Source organism: Homo sapiens, chromosome 12, assembly GCF_000001405.40.
Source record: "Homo sapiens chromosome 12, GRCh38.p14 Primary Assembly".
Taxonomy (NCBI): Eukaryota; Metazoa; Chordata; class Mammalia; order Primates; family Hominidae; genus Homo; species Homo sapiens.
The window spans coordinates 12507213-12527345 of record NC_000012.12 but is presented as its reverse complement, the minus strand read 5'-3'; the positions used below and the strand labels follow the sequence as shown (position 1 = coordinate 12527345).

Here is a 20133-nt window from a genome sequence, read left to right as displayed (position 1 = left end):
AGTCTAAGGAGTTCTTGTTTGCTTGCAGATATGATAGTCTCCTTTTTTCCCTTTTGATTGGTTTTTTTCCTGTTATTGAAAGCCTGTGTTTAGGGCTCTATTGAAAGGCATTTCGGTATATCTTGTTGCCTGTTTCTTCAGTTTTGTTGGAGGGAAAAAATTTAAGTCAGGCTTGTAGTTTAATAAAAGTAAACTTCTCACCTGATTATATCCTTTCCATAAACTGAGAATTTGAACTTGAGCTCTAGCCCAACCAAATAAAACTAAATCCCTCTCCTCACTCAACAGGCCTGTTAAGCACCCCATAGCTATGGGATCCTTTTCCTTTCCCTGATAATTTCTCTTTGTAAAAGAAAATGTTTAAAATGGAGTTGTGCCTCTCTGAGTGGGACCCCCCGCTTCCTCCTGGAGCCCCATCCCCTGCTGTGGGCCTTGATGCAGGCCTTGGGAGTGGGTGTTTTAGGGCAGCAGTAGCAGTAGCAGATGAAACTATTGCTGCCAGCAGAAAATAACCCATGGGTAGAAAGAAAAAAATTGTGTGTGTGAGCGATTATCACTTTTTTTCTGAGTGGGATATAGTCAGTGTCAGTATGACTGACCTAGAACCCAGGATCATGTTTGGGAAGTTGAAGAGAAAAATCATCTGGGAAGCAGAAGAAGATCCTTAATATAATCACGTAAAAATAATCTTAAAAAAAGGATTCTCTGGCTAGGCACAAATTTTGAAGTGTACAAGTAATAAAAATCGAAACAAAACATTTTCCTTTTAAGTAATTAATGGCAAATACTGGTTTTATACAGACTTTATGTTGTTCTCTTAGTTGAAACAGGCCCTACCTGTTCACTTTAACATAAAAATAGACTTACAGTTCTTAAACATAACTTATTCAGTAGCATACTTCATTGATACACCGTATTTGTGCAGAGTTGGATATAGAGTGAATTTCAAGAAATAAAACTCCAGTGATTTCTGTTATAGTCATAAATACATTTCCATAAGTAACCAAATGGAATCTAAATAAAAATAAATTACATATAAAAACAGACAAAATTGTATATTAAAGGGGGAAAGTTGTTATACAACTTGTGTTAAATATTATAAAATATAAAACATAAATCATTTGCTGAAAGGTAAAAATATACCAGAAATGGTATTTCTTTAGGAGATTTGCTGATTTTCTTCCATGATCTGTAGTCATTTTGTTATACTAAGATGTTGACTCAGTTTATCTTTATTCCTAGATAGTCTTTTAAAACCTTTATTTTGAACTTGGGATACTTTGCAGTTTTTTGTGTAGTAGCCCTGATTAAGGTTACCAGTCTTCAGTTTGATAAATACTGCCTTGCTGACTTTAGGTTATCCTTTAAAAGATAATTTCCATAACTTCATGAATGTTCACCATCACATTTTAACTTTCTTTTAAGCCAGAGTAGTTATAGAGGGTACTCTCTAACTAGTATGTCATAAAACAGGCCAGCTGTGGTGACCCCCAGCATTTAATTTGCTAACCTTTTGAGCACACTATTATGAGTTACTTGTCAGCTTCTTAGGTACTCTAGTATGTAATTCTAGGGGGGAAAATTGTGTGTGTGTGTGTGTGTGTGTGTGTGTGTATACATATATTTTTAATTTTTTGTAGAGATAGGGTCTCACTGTGTTGCTCAGGCTGGTCTTGAACTCTTGGACTCAAGTGATCCTCCTGCCTTGGCCTTCCAAAGTGCTTGGATTACAGTCATGAGCTACTATGCCCAGCTGGAGTTATCTTTTAAGTTTAAGAATTTCGCCGGATGCAGTGGCTCACACCTGTAATCCCAGCACTTTGGGAGGCCAAGGCAGGTGGATTACCTGAGGTCGGGAGTTCGAGACCAGCCTGACATGGAGAAACCCCATCTCTACTAGAAATACAAAATTAGCCGGGTGTGGTGGCGCATGCCTGTAATCCCAGCTACTGGAGAGGCTGAGGCAGGAGAATCGCTTGAACCTGGGAGGTGGAGGTTGCGGTGAGCCGAGATGCGCCATTGCACTCCAGCCTGGGCAATAAGAGTGAAACTCTGTCTCAAAAAAAAAAAAGAATTTCTACATGTTTTATTTAGATTTCCAGACATGCATATATGCAAGGCCCATGGAAATATAGATTGATTCATTTTCTAATTAAATGTTGAAAAAAATGAGATTCAAGTACTGTAAGTGAAAGAAAAAGCAAGATGCAAGACAGTGTCTATACTTTGTAACCATTTGAACAAAGAGAAGGAAAAGTGTGTATATTTGTGCTTCATTCTATATTAATTTAAAAAAATCTTTGGAATAAATTAGATGAGACTACTAAAAGTTGTTACCAGTTAGAGGGCAGGGTTGGGACCCAGGCAGATGGAGGATAATGGTAGAAGAAGGATTATGAATATATTTAGTTTTTTTTTATTTAAATGTATTTGCTGAAGTTTCAATATCGTGGCAATTTTAAACACCTTTATTGATGTATAAGTGACACAATAAACTGTACACGTTCATACTATGTATACATTTTTAGACTTTTTTTGAACCATATGAATATATTACCTATTTAAAAATCTAAAGAAAGTATTTCAACTTTAGCAGCTGGCTAAATAAATAGATAAATAGCAAAGCTGGTCTGCTCTGGATTTTGTTCTATGGACTTGAGCCTTTGTGGTTCATTGTAAAAATTTTTATTCCCCTTGACTTATAGAAATTCTGGGTAAGATTAGCTTGGTGATGTTGCAAGCAAAATATTCTCTTGTCATCTTTCAAATCTTACCTAATGCAAAGGATTTTGAAAACAAAACAGTAACTACAGAGAAATTTTTAAAATTAGACTCATAGCCAGTGATGGAGATTTAACCAAAATTCTCTAACTGTAAATGAAAGAGATTAAGGCCATTGTTACTTTACCCTCCATGATCCCTTGGCAGGGCTCTGCCTCTCACCTCACCCATTTAGCACTACAGAGAATTAGACCTTGGGCATGAAGTCCTACCAGGAGGACTCCAGCTGGCCTCAGTACAGCACTGAAAGAATGGAACTTCACCCTCACTTCACTTTTACCCCTATGCTTCACTTACATCCTCAGCTTAGAGTCACTTTGACCAGAGCCTTTCTTGGTCAGGGAAAGGGTCTTTTTATATCTGTAACTAAGCTCTGATTCTCTGGGCAAGAATGACATTCTCTGCTCTGTAGAACTGTTTGTTGTAACCTGTCTTTGGGTTTATGAGAATTGGCTGAGGGGAAGCAAAGATGAGAACTTTCTAATTCAACTTTTGCATGTTTGCTGACTTCTCCCTCCTTTTGTCCCTTGATCTGCTAACCCAGATAACTGCTTTGTCCCATCCGGATTTTATCTCTTTGAGAGGAGCCAATCAGACTCAGAGACCCAGTGCCATTGTTGGAATCAACTTGCTCTTGTTCTCGGATTTCCACTTTCTGTGCCACCTGGGTACCCTCATGGACAATTGGCATCATTCTTTCCCAGTCCAGTTCCATTATGGGAACAAGTACTTAGGGAAAACAGGGCAACCCAGTAGTAGAAGCCCTGGTTTGGGAATCAGACAATCTGAATACAGGACCTTACATTGCCGTGAACTCTGTCACTGAGCAGGCAGAACCTGATTGAGTGGTATGGCTTTGGTAGGCGCTTTGCAGAAGTTTATTAGTGGATTGACTAGGACAAATTCTCTCTTATAGTTCCTTCAGTTGAAAATAGAGATGACTTTTGTACTTCATTACCATAAAGCTATGCTAAAAATAATACATTAATGAAAGTTGTTTCTTGGAAAATAAGAAATGGAAATATAATGTATTAAATGGAGCTGGTTTGTAAAATATGGTGTGGTTGAGACAGTATCTCAGGTGCCTTCTAACTCCCTGTGTGTCAGCCTCTGTGAGAAAGGGCACAGTTTGGTTGCAGCTGTACTATAGGAGGATGGAATTACATCTGTTTTTATCTGTGAGTGATGTCTTTCAGATGCCAGATGCAAGCCAGCTTTGTTTGCCATTGGCATCTGTAGGGTATTTTTCCTCCTGTCTATGATGCATAGTTGCTTTTTTATTTACCAGCTTTCAATAAATTAGATAATTTTGTTCTCAGACCAAATTTGAAGAGATGAGGCCACTATAATGTCTCCATTTTGTAGGTGAAGAAACTGTGGTTTAGAGAGGTTATGTGATTTGTCCAAGGTTGCATAAGTAAATGGCAAAGCTACATCTCTTTATATCATGCTCCACCTTCTGTCTCCATGCTTTAGCTTCTAATTTGTAAGTACAAAATTAGGAAACATGATCTAAAGGTTTTTAAAGGCTCTGACATCCTGACCTGAAATCAGCTAATCAAATATTTATTTAGAATCTTAAACTGTTTTTGGAACAAGGAAGAATTTACCTACTATAATAATATATTGAGTATGTTATGTCCAAAGTACTGTAGAAGTAAGAAATATAATAAACTTTTGCAATCAAATATTTACCCTCTAGGCTGGGTGCGGTGGCTCATACCTGTAGTCCCAGCACTTTGGGAGGCTGAGACAGGTGGATTGCTTGAGCCCAGGAGTTTGAGACCAGCCTGGGCAACATGGCGAAACCCTGTCTCTACAAAAAGTACAAAAATTAGCTGGGTGTGGTGGTGCGCGCCTGTAGTCCCAGCAACTTGGGAGGCTGAGGCAGGAGAATCACTTGAGCCTGAGAGGCAGGGGTTGCAGTGAGCTGAGATTGTGCTACTGCACTGCAGCCTGGGTGACAGAGCAAGACCCTGTCTCAAAAAAAAAAAAAATTTACCCTCTAGAAGTTCAGTGCCAGAAGTAGACATGTAGTTTTATGTAGTAGAGGATTTCATATAAGCAGAGATGGACCAGGGGAGATAGGAATCCGAGAGTATTGAAGGTCAAGGTGAAGTCCAAGCAATAAGCGCAAAACTTCAACTAGTGTTAATTAGAAAGTGATTGATTAAAGGAGTTTGGCAAGAAAGGGAAGCACTGGGTTCAGCTTTAAGGGCTCTCTATGTCTGGGTTGCCAACTTAGAGTTCCAGGTTAAGGGGTGAGATTTTTTTAAGACTAGGAGTTAGTGATTCTCTGAAGAATGAAGCAGGAAAAAGTGAAGGATAAGCTTACAGGGCCTTAAGCAACTTGGTGGTAGGGAGATGGCCTCCGGAAGGAGACATGACAGGGCCATGGCTGTGAGCTTCAGCACTTCACAGGCCTAGCTCAGCAGCTGCTGTGACAAACATATCAGTTGTTTTTGTCCTTCCTCTTCCTTAAAAGATAGCTGAAATTTATAGAAACTCCAGTTTTCCTGCATCTTCTCTCCTCCGTGAGGGCAATTTTAAAAGGCTGCTGTTTGCGCCCTGGTACTCGCGTGAGCTCACATGTGCACACACATACACACATATACACCTACCCATTCATCGCAGGAATTCTCAAGCCATTTCAGAAAATATTTTTTTTTTTGTCCTGGTAACACAGGATTGCTAACTTTGTCCTCAGCTGCCATTCTTTGTGGGATTTCAATAAATAAGCAAATAAAATATAGGAAAACTATTTGGAATAATAATACTTCAAGCAGCTTTTTGTAGCCCTTTTAATTCAATACTACAGGTCATTTAGTTCTGAGCCCTAGGTGATTATAATTCATGATATGTCTTGTTTTGTTTTCTTTGAGTTTTTACATTTTGAGGTAAAATGGAATTATCACTAGCACATTTTTCTGAAGCCATACCAATTTGTCCTTTTTATTTGTTTGTTCAAATGAAGCAGTGCATCAAGTATGGAATTAGATTAATGGAGTAAATATTATGAATCATACACTCTCTCTAATCTGACACTCTTTCTTCTTTTTTTGACCTCACGTTTTGTTTTCTGTCTTTCTCTCTCCGCGTAGGCTTTCAGTCCAGTGTAAAGCTGTTGGAGCGCGGGAGCAAAGGTAAAGAATGATGTAATGCGCTGGCTGCTCCAAAGCATCTTTTGTTGTGGAATGGTTATTCCAGTCATCTCTTTATGAATCAAATGTGAGGGGCTGCTTTGTGGACGGAGTCCTTTGCAAGAGCACATCAACGGGAAAGAGAAAGAGACATTCACTTGGAGGGCTCTTGCTGAAAATGGGTTTAACTCTCCTTTTGCCAGTCACCACCAGCCTGACCTCATACACTTTTAGTACAATGGAGTGGCTGAGCCTTTGAGCACACCACCATTACATCATCGTGGCAAATTAAAGAAGGAGGTGGGAAAAGAGGACTTATTGTTGTCATGGCCCATGAGATGATTGGAACTCAAATTGTTACTGAGAGGTTGGTGGCTCTGCTGGAAAGTGGAACGGAAAAAGTGCTGCTAATTGATAGCCGGCCATTTGTGGAATACAATACATCCCACATTTTGGAAGCCATTAATATCAACTGCTCCAAGCTTATGAAGCGAAGGTTGCAACAGGACAAAGTGTTAATTACAGAGCTCATCCAGCATTCAGCGAAACATAAGGTAAACGCTTTCCTTTTTGCCTTTTCAAAATAAATGGACACACTGAATGAGGAATAATTTTAATTGAAGCCTCCTCTTTAAGTAGAGAAAGTAATTTGAGGAAGTTTTGGTTGCTTTTTAAATTTTGGTGCCTTGTGGTACCTCAAAATAATTTATTGTCCATATTGCCACATTTAATAATATTTCTAAACTATGAAGGATTAACTTGCTTTAGTTTGGACAAGTGCTATATTTTCTTGTGGCTTGCTAAAATGATTTTATTAAACACTATTCTATATTATCTGCAAATTTACTGAAAGGAAAGTCATTCTTTTCAAGTTCTTTGGAAAGAAAGTAGGAACTAATTATTAGGGGTGCTTTTTATGTGTCATAACACATGTGGTAACATTGGTCAAGACTTAATGATATCTTCAAGGGAAGTTATTCCTGGGATACTAAAATGTTGTCTGTGTGGTGAGGAAGTTGGTTTTTTTCTTCACAAATACAAATGAGCTCATGTTTTAATTTAAATAAACAACTGATTTCTTTGTTAAGGTGTAAAAGTCATTTTAAAAAAAGTTTGTTTAGGTCCAGGGTTATGTTTATTTTGCATATTGTTTGGTTTATTATGAACTTTACCATTTTATAGTATAAAGGATTTAAAACCAGGGAATCGTGAGATCACCTACACAGAAATAGCATCATTTTGGTTTTTAAGAGTTTTGTATGTGTCTGTCTCGTAAATTGACTACATCTCATTTTTATTCAAATTATTAATTGAAAACAGGAAGCAATTATTCGCCCCAGCACTGGTAAATGTGAGATCTTAAGCAGTAGTTTGAGATTACTTTTCTCACCTTCTTCCTAACAAGCCTCATGTTTGCATTTCAGGTTGACATTGATTGCAGTCAGAAGGTTGTAGTTTACGATCAAAGCTCCCAAGATGTTGCCTCTCTCTCTTCAGACTGTTTTCTCACTGTACTTCTGGGTAAACTGGAGAAGAGCTTCAACTCTGTTCACCTGCTTGCAGGTAAGGCTCGTGATGGAATTAAAAGGACTCAGAATCTTGCTGAGCTGTATGAGTAAGCATATTTCACTGTGAACTCAGTACAATAGATCATCCCAACTTTGCTGTGTAAAATGATTTATTTATAGCTTTTGATTGATGTCACCGTTCTATTTAACTTGAATACTATATCATTCTTCCACATAGGTCAGTGTATTTTTGACTTGGCTCAAGTGCCTCTTTGCTTGCTATTAACTGGTAGTGCCACATAGATTTGCACACCCATATGGATAGCTCAAAGCCAGCTGCTTCTGTCTGCCTTTTTCCATTCACCTGTGATGTAAGAACACCAAATGATGAACATCTCAGCTCCTGCTAGTTCCCACCCCTGTGGCAAGAACCAGACCAATATTACAGTGTCAAACTCTTACTTAACATTTATAGTTGGAGCGGACTCCAGAGATAAGCCTTATGGTCACCTTTCTGGGCATTATAAACAATGAAATAGGGGGAGAATGTGTGCAGAATGTTTCTTCTGGTAATTAGGGGAATTGTTTTAAAAGTTACTTGTATATTTTTATTTGTTTTATAATTAAAAAAAAGTCTCAACGTAGAAATGCTAAGCAACCAGATGATCTTATAAAGTGTGTGGGAAGGACCAAATATTCTATATCTCTCCTGGAGGACGGCATTGTAGGAGTTAATCCCATCAAATTCCAAAGAAGGCTATTCATCCTTTGCTTCTCGTTTTGCAAATGAAAATCCTTTCCCTTGCCCTGTGGGCTCATAGAGCTGGGAATATAGTTTGACAACACACAGTAACCTTAACATAAAGCTGCTGTGTTGGGCGGATTCAGCTTCAGTGATAGGCAAGAGTGCTTTTAAACATTTGGTCTAAGAAAAACAAAACATTAAGATTAATTAGTTGTTGGTGTGTTAATAATTTTAAACTCTGGGCAGGTTTAGATAAGATTTCCATGTCTCCAGTTCTCTCTCACAAGCTTTTCCTCAGTTCTCTAAGAACAAGGATAGTTCATCTTTTTCAGATTGTCTATCTGTACACCTTTCATTTATGCTGTGATTCCGTCTGATCTTTCAATTAGTGTTCTTAAGTGAAGCCAGCTTGTCTTAGAATGTAGTTTTCAGAAGTCTGTAACTGAGAATTATAATATTAGATTCTGTCTCTGTTGATAGACACATTCTTTTACTGGGAGTATGAGTGTGTTAAATGTAACAGCTATTATTAGCATTTCACTAAACTAATTGGGTGAGTTTAGGAACTCATTTCATGTTTCAGGTGGCCACTGTGTGAGGGACTTTACCTTGGAATCCTGTTAATGGGATCAGGGTTTTTCTTTTCTTTTTTTTTTTTTGAGACAGAATTTTGCCCTGTCGCCCAGGCTAGAGTGCGGTGGTGTGACCTTGGCTTGCTGCAACCTCTGCTTCCCAGGTTCAAGCGATTCTCCTGCCTCAGCCTCCCAAGTAGCTGGGATTCTGAGCACCTGCCACCACGCCTGGCTAATTTTTGTATTTTAGTAGAGACCGGGTTTCACCATGTTGGCCAGTCTGGTCTCGAACTTTGACCTCAGGTGATCTGCCTGCCTCGGCCTCCCAAAGTGCTGGGATTACAGGCATGAGCCACCACACCCAGCCAGAGTCTTTCTTAAAGAAGCAATATGCCAAGATGTGCTTCGTGACAGAGTGGTTATCCCACCATGTTCTTGTTTGAGTTACTTTTACCCTATGGGGAGACCTTACTCAACATCTCGGTCAAGTAGACAGCCCCCCAGAGGAGTGAGCTCACATTGAGTTTCTAGCACAGGTGCTTTAGCTACTTGTACCCTTTACTCCTTTACCAAAGAGCATTCCTTTGTTACCTGGGAAGGTTCTTAATCTATCCTGTGTAGCCTTGGGAGGGGCATTCACTGGGCAATAAGGAAGAAACAGGACTGCCTGATTAGCTATGTCAACTCTAGGGACACGTGGTGTGACACACTGAGTCAGAACACCCTGACATCCCTGTTTCAAACAGGAAGTGTTTCTTAGGCCTAACGGCAAGTCCATGGAGGCAGCACCAGGAGCCACATTAAATGTATTAGTAGCACCATATCTTCATCCATACCTCCAGAATCCTGTGTTTCTATTAGCTTAGGAGGTGACTTCAGAGTCTGAATTGCTTGTTTGGGAATTTCTGAGCAGCTGGATTTCTTGTGACACCTAAGAGAGGGTTCTAGATGATTAGAAGCCTTCCCAATCATCCAAAAGCAATTGGGGATTCTCTTGGTTAGTGAATTTTTTCGTCAGGGTAGGTAGATAATTGGGGTAAGTGGATAACAGTATTGGAGAAGGTTTGGCCATCAATTCTTGGGAAACTGTTTTATTGCAAAGGTCCAGCTGCTCAGAGGACAAGCCAGGGATGTGGGACAGAAGGACATATTGACAAAAGTTTCTTAAATATTTTGGTTGGGGAGAAATAACTGAAAAGCACCCTAGTTTCTCACAGGGGCTACTGTAAGTTACAAGGTCACTGGAGACAATTTTCACTACAAACTGCCCCTGTGACTTTCAACAGTTGGAGATTGTTGTCAGTCTCGTTTGGACATGGTAATAGAAAGACAAAGTGGTTTCTTGGAATAATTTTTCCATCGGTTTAGAACTTTCAGCCACCTTGAGAAAAGAAAGCATCAGATATGTGAGATGGTTTTTATGGTCATTAGCTATGGCAGTGAGGAATTGTGGCCCCACATCTACTCACACTCTCAGGGCTACCTTACCCACGGAAGAATGACTGTGAATAAGGAGAACAAGAGGACTCCCAAGAAATTGATAGCAGTATCTTAACGAGCTCTTTTCCTTCAAACAAGAGGAGACTGACACTTACCTGGAGGACCTACTTACATGGTCATGAAAAATGAAGGATTACTGAAGGAGAAGGAAGTGGGATTTGGGGAACCTCTACAGGAATGCAGTGGGCTTAGTTTTTTAATATGGACCAGGTCTTGTTTACCTTTGTGTTCCCGCAAGGCCTAGCCCTTCTTAAGTTTTCAGTAAATATTTTGATATTAGCTTACCTGAAGGTTTTATATTGTTTATATTTCCTATGATTTATCAGTCTAGAATATAAGCATATTAAGCAGTGATGAAGTCTGAAAGTAGAGAAAACTTCAGATTGTTTCAAAATAGGTGATTTGGAAGGTGTATTTATTCTGATAAAGCAAATATATAGCTGCGATGGGAAAATATCTAATATGAAACTTTCTTCATCCATATAAGCAGATGTGAAGATGGTATTAAAATCTGATGAAAATGCTGCTGTAGTGAAACAGTGCTAATTTTCTGTGGTCCTTAAATACTGATATTTGATAAAGAGCTAACAACCCTAGAAATCTAGCTCCACTCATAGGAATACGCAAGTCCTTGAATTCATGTTAATTGAGAACAGTCAGAATAATTATTGTATTTTTAAAAATGTAAATGTAAATTGATTGCTCTAGTCATTAGTAAATAACCTACTAACCAAGTCAAACTAAGCCATAGCATTGTTTCACTCCCAGTGGATTAAAGGGTTTAATATCAGTAGCAGCTGGGTGTGGTGGTGCACCCCTCTATTTCCAGCTACTCGGGAAGCTGATGGGGGAGGATTGCTTGAGCCCAGGAGTTCGAGGTTACAGTGAGCTGTGATTGCAACACTGCACTACAGTCTGGGTGACAGAGAGCCTGTCTCTAAAAAAACAAAACACAAAATTATCAGTAGCAATCTCATCTTAAAAAAAAAACAAATTTGGATGCTTTAGAAAGTTCTCCATTACTGCCCGGCCATGGTGACTTACACCTGTAATCCCAGAACTTTGGGAGGCCGAGGTGGGTGGATCACCTGAGGTCAGGAGTTCGAGACCAGCCTGGCCAACATGGCAAAACCCCATCTCTACTAAAAATATAAAAATTAGCCGGGCATGGTGGCATCTGCCTGTAGTCTCAGCTACTCAGGAGGCTGAGGCAGGAGAATTGCTTGAACCCGGGAGGCAGAGGTTGCAGTGAGCCAAGATCGCATCACTGCACCCTGGTGTAGGCAACAGAGTGAGACTCTGTCTCAAAAAGAAAAAAAAAGTTCTCTATTACCATTAATGGGTAGGTAATGGCAAACCATTGTTTCCTTTTTTTTTCAATTTTGAAGTCAGGTTATTGAATAAGTACAATTTAAAGACCTGCATATCTTCCCCACAACCCCCCTTGAAATTTAGACTTAAGAATTCATATTGGCCAGGTGCGGTGGCTCACACCTGTAATCCCAGCACTTTGGGAGGCCGAGGCGGGCGGATCACCTGAGGTTGGGAGTTCGTAACCAGCCTGACCAATGTGGAGAAACCCCGTCTCTACTAAAAAATACAAAATTAACCAGGTGTGGTGGCGCATGCCTGTAATCCTAGCTGCTCAGGAAGCTGAGGCAGGAGAATTGCTTGAATCCAGGAGGTAGAGGTTGCGGTGAGCCAAGATCGCACCATTGCACTTCAGCCTGGGCAACAAGAATGAAACTCCATCTCAAAAAAAAAAAAAAGCATATTAATAGAGTAAAAAAATGGGTGTAACATAAATGTATCATAATAATGATTTTATAATCTAGGATGGGCTTTTGGAAGGGAAAAATGCTGTAATTCCTATTTGGCTAAAAAAATTAACTGGGTTTCTCATAATTTGAAAAGAATCTAATTCTATTGAGAATATTTCAGGAAAGCTTATATAATTAAGTATATTAAATAATTAGAATTATAGGAAAATATTGGCAGAATAAACTATATATTTTTTCTTTTTAATAAAGTCCTTTGTGTCTGATAAACTATATTTTGAACTTGTAATGAGAAGTCATAAACGTAGAGAAGACCAACTTCCTGGGAGCAATAGGTAATCTGGGTATAGAAATTGTACAAGGTGCCAGGCATGGTGGCTTATGCCTGTATTCCCAACACTTCAGGAGGCTGAGGCAGGAGGATCACTTGAGCTCAGGAGTTTGAGACCTGCCTGGCCAACAGAGAGAGACCTCGTCTGTACTAGAAATTTAAAAAATTAGCCGGGTGCGGTGGTATCATACCTATAGTCCCAGCTACTTGGAAGGCTCACTTGATCCCAGGAGTTTTGAGGTTGCAGCGAGCCGTGATTGTGCCACTGAACTCCAGCCTGGGCGACAGAGCAAGACCCTGTCTCCAAAAGAAGAAAAAAGAAATTACACAAGGTAGAGCTAGAGAGAGGTAGTGCCATGCTCTATGCCATGTGCCGGGCCTGTTCTTGTTTTTTCTCCTGCAGATGTAAGATTTAAGATTGAGGGGAAGGGGAGAGATGGGGATTGGAGAATCCAAAAAAGGAACCATTTTCAAGGGTTGGTAATATCTTTCGTGTTACTGCTAAACTTTAGATATTGACTAAAGAAAAAGGATCAGAAAAGAGCAGGAGGAAGAAAAACTAGGTCCTAGTGGTAAAGGTATTACCTGAGCACAGGCTCTGTATCTGCATCTGCAGAAGGTTTCAGGGTCTTCTGATCAACTCAGTGCCATGCCCACACCCATTCCCTAGGTGATCTAACATCTGCATTGAGGAAATCCCTTTAAGCTGGAAAGAACAATGGACTAGGGGTCAAAGCTGTAGCCTGTGTTTTCTGTGTGTGTCTCTGCTCCTTATGGCAACTTTGGATAAGTCATTTAACCTGAATTATCTTGTATTTTTTCAGCTCCTAAAAAGAGATAATAACGCTTGCCTTATTATGAGGATTGTATTAGACAATGGATGTGAAATTTCTGTATCAATAGTCTAAAAGACTATCCTTCAAAAAAAAATAAGAAACTTATCAGTATGAGTTTGAAAACCCAAAAAATCAGTTGCCAACATTGATTTATTGAGCAACTTTTTTGGTGTTTTCAACAACCTGCAGAAAACTAGTTCTCTGAAAAATAAACTTGTTTCTTGGCTTTTACTTATTCACTATGTATCAGTTTATTCTACTTGTCTATTTCTAAGAGCGCCAGATTAGAAGTAAATATATGTGAAAAAAAGGAAAACTATTGAATTTGGGCTTTTATTTTATGCTGACATATGGAAAAGAGAGTAAATGGGTTAATTTAGTAGAAATAAAGATCAACCTGCATGTGAAAAATGCTGTTCTACTATGTCCTTCTCTTTCCCCAGTACAGCCTGAGTAAAAGCAAAAGGGCTCTGCCAGGCTTATTAATTCCACAGCACTCCCTTCTGTCCTGTGATGCAGCACAGAATAACCCTACAGCGATTGCGGGAGAAAACCATAAATGAACCACAGACTTCAGCCCTTTCATTTACAAATGAGGAAAATAACAGAGCTGCTGAGTGACTCTCCCAAGCTCTTGCTGCCCAAGGCCCACATCCACAAGTAATTCCAGAGTCTTCTGGAATTTTGTCAGGAGGCTAGATTGGGAATCAAGGGTGCCCATTTCAGATCAGGCTTATTCTGAAAGGCTCTTTTTGTAATAGCTCTTTCTCAGTCTTTTTGAGAATTTCAGTCATATTCTTCATACTTTATAGAATATAGCAATCTATAAAAATACACTGTATATAAATTGTTTTAAAGCATTAAACTATGTTAGCCAGAAGAGATCATCAAGTAAAAGTCTACTCTGTTTTATGCTGGTGTATAGCTGTGAATAAGGATAGAAGATACCATTTATTAAGAACACAGCAAAGGTCTTCGATTAATGTTTGCTATGGTTAAAGGCCAAATACTCATTTCTTCGTTTTGAGTTGAACTTAACTATTGTAGTTAGACCTACGAGTGAACAAAAATGTATTAGACTCTACACATTTTCAATTTAATAAGGATCTAGATTCTGATGACAGTTCTGTGTAATAAATGTATACTTTTGGTTTAATAGAATTGATTACTGTCCTTCCTCATGGAGGTATGATAGAACCTGATCTTCCTGGTTATGGATTTTGCTCTTTGTGCTATTACCATAAATTCTGTTATCTAGTTTGGTGTTTCTTCTCCTTTGTCTGGAGAAGGGAAATCTTCAGTAATTCCATTTCGAATCCTGTAGAACTTGGTAAATGAGATTGAAATTAATGGATTTCAGTAAAAGTATGCCAATTATTAAGGAACTGGCTGCTCTTGGGTCTAAAAAACTACAGTGACTGAGAGTCACTGAAAACAGACTAAAAATAGATGCTGTATGCACACATACACACACAATGGAATATTCAGCCTTAAAAAAGAAGGAAATCCTACCATTTTGCAACAATATGGGTGAACCTGGAGGACATTATGCTAATTGAAATAAGCCAGACACAGAAAGACAAATACTGCATGGTATCACATGTGGATCTAAAAGAGTCAAACTCATGAAAACAGTAGAACGGTGGTTACCAGGGGCTGGAGGGCTGGGGTAATGGGGAGATGCTGCTTAAAGAGTACAGACTTTCAGTGATATGATGAGTAAGTTCTAGAGACCTATTGTACAGCATGGTGACTACGGTTGACAATAAACGTACCATATACTTCAAATTTGCTGAAAGAGTAGATCTTAAGTGTTCTCACCACAACAAAAAGAGCATGGCTATGTGAGGTAAGGTAGTCATTCCAAGTGTATATGTATATCACATCATCATGCTGTACACCTTAAACAGATAAAATTTTTGTTTGTTAATCATACTTCAATAAAGCTGGGGAAAAAGGTGCTGTTTGCTCACTGGCTGCTGTGTATTTCTGGCTCTGTTTCTGAGTCTCAGTTGGCATGAATTCGTCTAAATTGGATCATCTTTTCTCCGATTGCTATCTGCCAGTGTGGAGAGTCAGTCATGTCTCTTCCCAGCTACCAGTGGCTAAGACACATGCTTGAGATTGTCTTTTGAAACAAACAGACTAGAGAGCCAACTAAAGCTTAAAGATAGTCCTTTGGTTCCCCATCCTGATATTGTGCACAAACCAAACAAAAGCATCCCAGATGACAACAGTGACATCAATCTTCCCTTGCCCCAGGTGGGGCAGCTGTGTAGTCTAGAGAAACACCAGGTCCAGCATATTCTTCAGCCCTTTCACTCACTCAGCCTCTCAATATTTGATGGGTGCCTCCATGGCTGTGCCTTGGACTGGGCTCTCGGGGGTGAAGATATTGGAAAAGCAAAAGGCTTGCCCCTGCCTTTGAGAATGTAGTGGTTAATTTGGGGAAATGCACCTAAAGTGGATGAAAGAAAGAGAAGTATATGATCATTTGCTAAAATGTATGATACAGTGATAAGGGATGATTCAGAGTAGTCTGCAGAAGTCAGGGAAGACTTGATTAGGGCAGTGGAATTTTAATCAAACCTTGAAAGATGAGGAGTAAGATTTGGGTAGGGAGGGTTCTGCGCATTCTGAGGGGGAAAGAACATGATTAAAAATGTCAGGAATGAACATAGATTTGGAGGGGCAGTGAGCAGACCAGAGTGGATTTTTTGTGAAGGAGAGAAATGGGAATTGAGAGGACATGAGATCAAATTATGTAAGCTCTTTAAATCAGAAGGAAGAATTTGTACTTTAAGGTGATGGGTATTGTGAGCTATTGGAGATATGGCTGCAATACCTGTCATCTCTTAGTCACCAGATCTTTCTTCCAACCTCTTCGGTCTGTCTGGTTTTCTGGTCTTCTGCTACCATGAAGTCAGTTGAATGTTATTCCTCCCCCAGGTTGCTCCAGGAGCCTCTTAACTGATCTGTTCACATGCTCTGTCTTGCCACCTTCCAATCCATTGCTCACACTGCAGCCAAAGTTACATTTTTATTTTGTGTTTTTAACTAATTCAGATTACATCACTTCCCAGTTTAATATGCATCAATAATATGCAGTGCTCTTAAGATAAGTTACAAAATTTTTAACTGATTCACAAGGCCCTGCAGTGGCTGGCTTCTGCCTACCTTGCTAACTTCATCCAGTGCCACTTTAAGTCCTCAGTTGTTGTTTTGCCTCAGCTCCTTAGGCCTCCTCCCTGTTGCTCTAAACCTAAGACATCATGCACCCTGGGCCTTCACAGAGGCTCTGTCCTCTGCCCTGGGCTCTTCTCTCTGCTATTTACCTAGTTGTTTTCCTGCTAGATTCAATGTGGTTGTCAAGCCTTCCCTAGCTACCAGGCAAAGTTGGTTTCCATATGCCTTTGGCCACTTACCATAATTAGTTAATTATTCATCTAATTATTTGGTTAAAGTTTATCCCATAAAACTGTCAACTCCAGAGAAGGCTCTCTGTCTTGGTCACCACTGTTCCATTACCTAGCGCTATGTCAAACTCATAGTAGGTGCTATTAAGTGTTTTTTGAACTTATATGTGAAACGCAGTTATCCCTTTCTCCCTCACTGCTCTATGACGTCTCTTGTCAAAATGTGTAGTTGGCCAAAGAGGAGGACTGTACACAGAGTGGAATATACAGAAGTGGTCTTAGGGGAGAGCCTGTGGCTAGATGGCTTAGAAAGCTTTGCGCTTCACATGGATAGCCTGAGAAGTGAGCTGTATAGTGTGATTCATGGACAGTTTACAAGTTAGTCAGATTTTATTCTTGAATAATTCTCCAGACACTAGACTTGTATTCCTTTTTCCTCTTGACTCATCAAGTTTCCCCTATGGATAATCTCATTTCATTATCCATTTTGATGATGATTATAGACATGTCCAGCAGCCACACCATCCTCATCTGGGGTATAATCATAGTTGGTGTCTCATTGGTTTCCTATGGGATGTGCCCTGATTCCCTGAGCCATGGAGATATATTACGGGACTCTCCACACCGGTGTGGAGTCCTGCGCCATTTAGGGGCATCAGAAAAAATTTTCTTTCCCTTTTATGTAAAGTCCTGTGGATACAGCAGAATCATAGTAAGGATTCAGTGTCGCTTTTGGATAACCAAAGTGACACTCGCCAATTTTATCTTTTTTCCTGTAGTAGAAGAAAAAATGTTTTTTTCTTGCCCTGTGCCTCCTCACTCACCCTGAGAGTCTTCTGGGGCATTGTGGTCTAGGAATAGGAAGCAGATTTTGTGCCCCCACCCACACCAACTAGCTTTTGGCTTTGAATGGAATCAGGAAATCCTTCGGAACACCAAAAATATACAAGACTTATGTCCATCAACAGCTATTCATTGTAACAAGGAAGGATTCAATAAACATTTATTGAATTCTAATTATGTGCCAGGCACTATGCTAAATGCTGAGGTAATTACAAAGAATTATGGATAATTCTTATCCATAAGCAGCTCACAATAGCTGGAGAAGTAAGACGGGTCACAACACATACACAGTTATTTCACAGTTACTAGGTCAGTGGTAGGTACTGCCAAATGATTGGTATAAATTTTATAGAGCCTCTAAGCTGGACCATGTCTAGATACGCTGCTCAAGGAAGTTTGTTTTTTTTTTTTCTTTAAACGCAACAGAATTAGGGAAGATAGTATCATGAAACTTTTGTCTTAGTGGTGAGTATGTGTAGGTGTTCAGAGGGTTTGAGTGTAAAATGTATTTTGTTGATCCTGGTAAAAAAATTTTGGGACCATACTGCTATAGAAGAGGTGTAACTTGTGCTTGCCTGTGGTTTAGAAGGAAATACAAAATGGATTGGAAAGGTTGACTTTTCAAAAGCCTAAAGGCGGGAAAGCACAGATGTGTTAGGAAAATAGTAGGGAGACTCTGTGACTCTGGCTCTCCTACCTACAGAGCTTGTTAATTCTGTTCAGCCAAGTGGTAGATTCTGGCTGTATTCCTTTTGATGGGTTATTCTGGTTGCAGTCTTTAGAACAATCTTTGTTTCAGGACGTTTAAGAGGAGTTTTTCTGGGCATAGTTATGTATTGCCAATTTAAAAGATCAGCAGAATAGTTACCAGTCTACATCTTCTGAGAACTCTTCCTTCTTGAATAACACATCTGGATGTTGCTGATGGAGTTGATTTAAATATTATCCTGAGTTATAAGATCTGGACATTCTGAGTCATAAGAAATTATAAGTTGCATAATTTTAGTGTTTAGTGATTTGTCTGCTGGTGCTTTGAAAATTTTTCATTCATTTGTTGTGTATGTCATAACTGTTGTGTATGTCATAACTGTTGCATATGTCCTAATACCAAAATTAGATAGAATTTCCCATTTCCCAACTGTGTCACGTGATAGGGTTGTTTAATATAGGGCAAGCTCTTTTGGAGGTGTCATTTATGGGATAAGTTTTGTGAGATGTAGGCTACTTGTCAGCCTTCCTGAAAGAGAAATGCGTATCTATCCACTCTCCTCTTGGTCTGTGCTCCAGTAGATGGGGGTGGATGGAATAAGAGCTTTAAATTAATGCTTTAGATCATTTGGGATTTTTCTCTTTAGTATGGCTCAATTGGAGAGTTGGCTATATGGGAAAAGGTGGAATGCTGCTAATGCTGTGGAAAAAATGCTATGCTCTCTACCTTCCTAGGAGTAATTTACCAAACCTGTGTGGCTTGGCTTATCCAGACCAAAGTATCTACATTGAAACATTAGTTACATATTTTGTTTGCTTTCTTTAGGGGTATGAAATTATGTTGCTTTTTTTTTTCTTTTCTTTTCTTCAACTAGTTTCAACTCTCCATGTTTACTGTCTGCTGATCCCGAAAGAATTGTGACCATACTTTAGTCTGTTTTTGAGTGTCTAGAGAATAAAGTTGCCTAAATCAGACATGTCAGACTGAGGCATAACAGAATTACTCTTAAGAGCAATTAAAGTACTTTACTGCAAAATAAACATTTTCAGTATTTTCCATTTTTAATGTTAGAGTTGTCTCCTTTGTGTGATGGTAAAGCAACAGATTTTCTTTCCAGTATGGAGAGAAGAGAGAACTGTCCTCTACAGGTGAAGGTGTACTCTAGTTTTTCACATATATTCTAAAATAAGCAAATGAAAGGATTGTGTTTATGTTACAAAAAGGGAGTTTTGTTTTACAAAAGAATTAAACTACTTGAGAACTACAAAAGAATTTAATGGCTGGGCACGGTGGCTCACGCCTGTAATCCCAGCGCTTTGGGAGGCCAAGGCGGGCTGATCACCTGAGGTTGGGAGTTCGAGACCAGCCTGACCAACATGGAGAAACCCCGTGTTTACTAACAATACAAAATTAGCCGGGCATGATGGCGCATGCCTGTGATCCCAGCTACTCGGGAGGCTGAGGCAGGAGAATTGCTTGAACCCGGGAGGTGGAGGTTGCGGTGAGCGGAGATCGCACCATTGCACTCCAGCCTGGGCAACAAGAGTGAAACTCCATCTCCAAAAAACAACAACAACAAGAATTTAACCGCATAGTTCAAAAACTGTGAAACCATATGAACTATATGCAGATGATTTAAAATACAAAAGTTAAATTTGCATATGACTTTTTAGGAAAATGTCTTCCATAAAGTAGAGCTTTATATCAATATTATTTCTTTGTATAACCATGGAATCCATTCACAATATAGGGTGGGAGGGCAGTTCTCTTTGATTCTGCCTTCCTTGAAGGCGGCTCTGCCAGTTGATAAATCCCTAGTGACTTGCTCCCTATTTAAATGAAGGCATGAGTGGAAAGGCCCTCTGTCTCTCCCTGCAGGAAACCATCTTTAAAGTCATGGAACTGCTAAAAGGAGAGGGATCTATTTTTAGAACTTTGGCCTTAAAAACATTTTAAGAATATCAGTAAGCCACA

At 39.4% G+C, this 20133-nt stretch overlaps 1 protein-coding gene across 7 annotated transcripts in view; it reads left to right on the top strand.

Moving 5' to 3' along the window:
* DUSP16 (dual specificity phosphatase 16) overlaps positions 1 to 20133 on the top strand; it is an 89582-nt gene that overhangs the window by 35518 nt on the left and 33931 nt on the right. For 6 of the 7 annotated variants that reach the window (NM_030640.3, XM_047429568.1, XM_047429570.1 and 3 more), the window contains 2 exons: positions 5883 to 6475; positions 7346 to 7484. In NM_030640.3, the coding sequence (NP_085143.1) occupies positions 6248 to 6475; positions 7346 to 7484 (367 nt within the window). In that variant the 5' untranslated portion in view covers positions 5883 to 6247. Of the gene's footprint in view, positions 1 to 5882; positions 6476 to 7345; positions 7485 to 20133 lie in introns of those variants that run through there. The other variant, XM_047429571.1, reaches the window with a different exon arrangement.